Below are 4554 nucleotides of genomic sequence, written 5' to 3'. Positions count from 1 at the left end.
AACTGGAGAGAGAAAAATTATGTTTCAAAAACTATAGTACACCTGTTGTTAAATTCTAGTCTTTCCTGATGTTTTTCAATTTTTATTATTTTCTGTGGTTTGGATTAATTTTCAAAATAATGTTTTTCAATTTTTTTCCTTTTTCTTTTCCTATTTTCCCATTTTTCCTAATTGGAAATGACAGAAACCTAAGCTGTGCTTTCTTAAAGCCCTGCAAACTGAAGACTAGATAACTTAAATTTCAGAAGAAAACCACAGCAACCTATTTATATGTATTGCTGTTGCCTACTATTATGTTTCAACAGGCGCTGCCTCTAAGCCCCTGAAACAGAGAATGCTACCAGGAACAAATCGACGGCTTCCACTCCAGTGCTACCTTCGGTGTCCCATAACGACAAACCCCTCTCAGCAGGAAGTAGCCAGAAAGATAGCGATGCCCCGTCTCCCTATGTACAAGTATAATAGAAATCATGCACAAATTGACAGTGGGGATTGTGGCAGGCCAGGCCTCACTAACAACTGTTTCAGTACTGAGTGGTTACACTAAATATTAAAAGCCGGTGCCCTGATACAAAGGCTGGGATGTAACAAAAGCTCATGAAGAGTTTTGCTTAGGCCTCTCCTGGGCCTTAAAGCATGACAAAATAATGAAGAAATTCTTTACAGCACCTATGTAGGATTAAGCAAGTTTTATTGTGGATCTGAAGAAATTCACCAGGCCTCCACAAACAAGTTTATTGGGGGTCTGAAGGAACTCCTCAAGCCTCCCTGATTTAACAAGAGATAAGATGAGGGTATTCACCCAAGTGCCTTGACCAATTTAGATTAAGTAAATTTCCTTAGGGCCCAGAGGAAGGTCTTCAGGACTCATACCTTAGTTAGAGATTAATAAAAGTTAATCACTTATATCATTAGATGAAGGCACACTTACAGAAAGACATATATCTTAGAAGGTATATAAGCTCTGGAAAACTTTGTAATTTTGAGTTAGTCTGGCAATAATTTCCAGGCCTTCCTCCTGTAACTGGTTACAGAAATAAAAACTCTCTTCCTCCCCAGTTCATCTGCATCTTGTTTTTGGGTGGTGAGAAACAGCTGCCTGACCCTCAGTTTGGTCTGGGAACATGGCCATTTTTACGATGTTGATTTTTCCTTTCCATGAGGATAGAATGTTTTTCCATTTGTTTGTGTCCTCTCTTATTTTGTTGATCAGTGGTTTGTAGTTCTCCTTGAAAAGGTCTTTCACATCCCTTGTTAGCTGTATTCCTAGGTATTTTATTTTTTTATACTGATTGTGAATGGGAGTTTATTCATGATTTGGTTCTCTGCTTGTCTATCATTGGTGTAAAGGAATGCTTGTGATTTCTGCACATTGATTTTTATATCCTGAGAGTTTTCTGAAGTTACTTATCAGTTTAAGGAGTTTTGGGGCTGAGATGATGGGGTTTTCTTAATATAAAATCATGTCATGAGATAATTTGACTTCCTCTCTTCCTATTTGAATAAACTTTATTTCTTTCTCTTGCCTTATTGCCCTTGCCAGAACTTCCAATACTATGTTGAATAAGAGTGGTGAGAGAGAGCATCCTTGTCTTGTATCGGTTTTCAAAGGGAATGCTTCCAGCTTTTGCCCATTCAATTTGATATTGGCTGTGGGTTTGTTGTAAATAGCTCTTATTATTTTGAGATATGTTCCATCAATACCTAGTTTATTGAGAGTTTTTAACATGAAGGGATGTTGAATTTTATCAAAGGCCTTTTCTTCATCTATTGAGACAATCATGTGTTTTTTGTCATTGGTTCTGTTTATGTGATGGATTATGTTTATTGATTTGTGTATGTTAAACCAGCCTTGCATCTCAGGGTTGAAGCTGACTTAATTGTGGTGGATAAGTTTTTTGATGTGCTGCTGGATTCGGTTTGCCAGTATTTTATTGAGGATACTTGCATGGATGTTCATCAGGGATATTGGCCTGAAGTTTTCTTTATTTGTTGTGTCCCTTCCCAGTTTTGGTATCAGAATGATTCTTGCTTCATACAATAAATTAGGGAGGAATCCCTTATTTTCAGTTGTTTGGAATAGTTTCAGAAGGAATGGTGCCAGCTCCTCTTTGTACCTCTGGTAGAATTCGACTGTGAATCCATCTGGTCCTGGGCTTTTTTTGGTTGGTAGGCTATTAATTACTGCCTCAATTTCAGAACTTGTTACCGGTCTATTCAGGGATTCAACTTCTGCCGGGTTTACTCTTGGGATGGGTATATGTGTCCAGGAATTTATCTATTTCTTCTAAATTTTGTACTTTATTTGCATAGAGATAGATGTTTATAGTATTCTCTGATTGGAATTTGTATTTCTGTGGGGTCAGTGGTGATATCCCAATTATTAGTTTTTAGTGTGTCTATTTGATTCTTCTCTCTTTTCTTTTCTATTACTCTAGCCAGCAGTCTATTTATTTTGTTAATTTTTTCAAAAAAACAGCTCCTGAATTCATTGATTTTTTGGAGTCTTTTTTTTTGTGTCTCTATAGCCAAGACAGTCCTAAGCAAAAAGAATAAAGCTGGAGGCATCATGCTACCTGACTTCAAACTATACTACAAGCTACAGTAACCAAAACAGGATGGTACTGATACCAAAACAGACATGTAGACCAATGAAACAGAACAGGGACTTCAGAAATAACATCACACATCTACAACCATCTGATCTTCAATAAACCTGACAAAAACGAGTAATGGAAAAATGATCTCTTATTCAATAAATGGTGCTGGGAAAATGGGCTAGCTATATGCAGAAAACTGAAACTGGACCCCTTCCTTACACCTTATACAAAAAGTGATTCAAGATGGATTAAAGACTTACATGTAAAAGCCCAAACCCTAAAAACCCTAGAAGAAAAGCAAGGCAATAACATTCAGGACATAGGCATGGACAAAGACTTCATGATGAAAATGGCAAAAGAAATGGCAACAAAAGCCAAAATTGACAAATGGGATCTGATTAAACTAAAGAGATTCTGTATAGCAGAAGAAACTGTCATTAGTGTGAACAGTTAACCTACAGAATGGGAGAAAATTTTTGCAACCTACCCATCTGACAAAGGTCTAATACCCAGAATTTACAAGGAACTTAAACATATTTACAAGAAAAAACAAATCCATCAAAAAGTGGACAAAGGACGTGAACAGACACTTCTCAAAAGAAGACATTTATGCAGCCAAAAAATATGAAAAAAAGCTCAATATCACTGATCATTAGAGAACTGCAAATTAATACCACAATGAGATACCATCTCACGCCAGTCAGAATGATGATTATTAAAAAGTTAACAAACAATAGATGCTGGAGAGACTGTGGAGAAATGGGAATGCTTTTACACCGTTAGTGGGAATGTAAATTAGTTCAACTATTGTGGAAGTCAGTATGGCAATTCAGCAAGGATCTGGAACCAGAAATACCAGTTGACCTAGCATTCCCGTTACTTGGTATATACGAAAAGAAATATACATTATTCTTCTATAAAGACACATGCACATGTATGTTTACTGCAGCACTATTTACAGTAACAAAGTCATGGAACCAACCCAAGTGCCTATCAATGATAAACTGGGTAAAGAAAATGTAGTACATATACACCATGGAATACTATGCAGCCATAAAAAGGAATAAGATCATGTCCTTTGCAGGGACATGACTGAAGCTGGAAGCCATCATCCTCATCACACTAGCATAGGAACAGAAAACCAATCACTGTATGTTCTCACTCATAAGTTGGAGTTGAACAATGAGAACACGTGGACACAGGGAGGGGAATACTGGACACCAGGTCCTGTTGGGGTTAGGGGCGATGGGAGGGAACTTAGAGGATGGGTCAATAGGTGCAACAAGTCACCATGGCACATGTACATCTATAAAACAATTTTGCAAGTTCTGCACATGTATCCCAGAACTTAAAGTAAAAATTTCTTAAAGTCTAGTTTTCAATAAAAAAGTACTAGGTATGCAAAGAAACAGGAAAATATGACCCATAAACTGGAATAAAAGCAAGCAACAAAAATGCCTTTGAGATTTCCCAGATTCCAGATTTAATAGGAAAACATTGTAAAGTAGCTACCTTAAATATATTTACAAATCTAAAGGAAAGCTAGATTAAAGAAGTAAAGACAGGTATAGTGTCAGTGTTGGATCAAATAGAGAATATCAATAAAAGATTTGTTAAAAAATTGTAAAATAACCAAATGGAAATTATAGAGTTGGAAAGTACAATCATTCAAATAAAAAATTTACTAGAGAGGACCTACAGTACATTTAAATGGGCATAAGAAAACATGAATGAACTTGATGATTGATAGAAATTATGCAAGCCAAAGAAGGGTGTTAACAAAATACCATGAAATGTGTGGAGGCAAAAAGGATAACTTTATTTTCTGAAAGTAAGCTGTAGCCTGGGGAGACAGAGCTTCTCTGTAAAATGAAATTAGTGTTCAGAATGAAACAAAAGTGGATTTCCCAGAAAAAAGGGAACGTTTGTGGTTTGACTTACATAGAAAAGTTTC

Source organism: Homo sapiens, chromosome 8, assembly GCF_000001405.40.
Source record: "Homo sapiens chromosome 8, GRCh38.p14 Primary Assembly".
NCBI classification, from domain to species: domain Eukaryota; kingdom Metazoa; phylum Chordata; class Mammalia; order Primates; family Hominidae; genus Homo; species Homo sapiens.
This window is presented reverse-complemented; position numbering follows the sequence as displayed.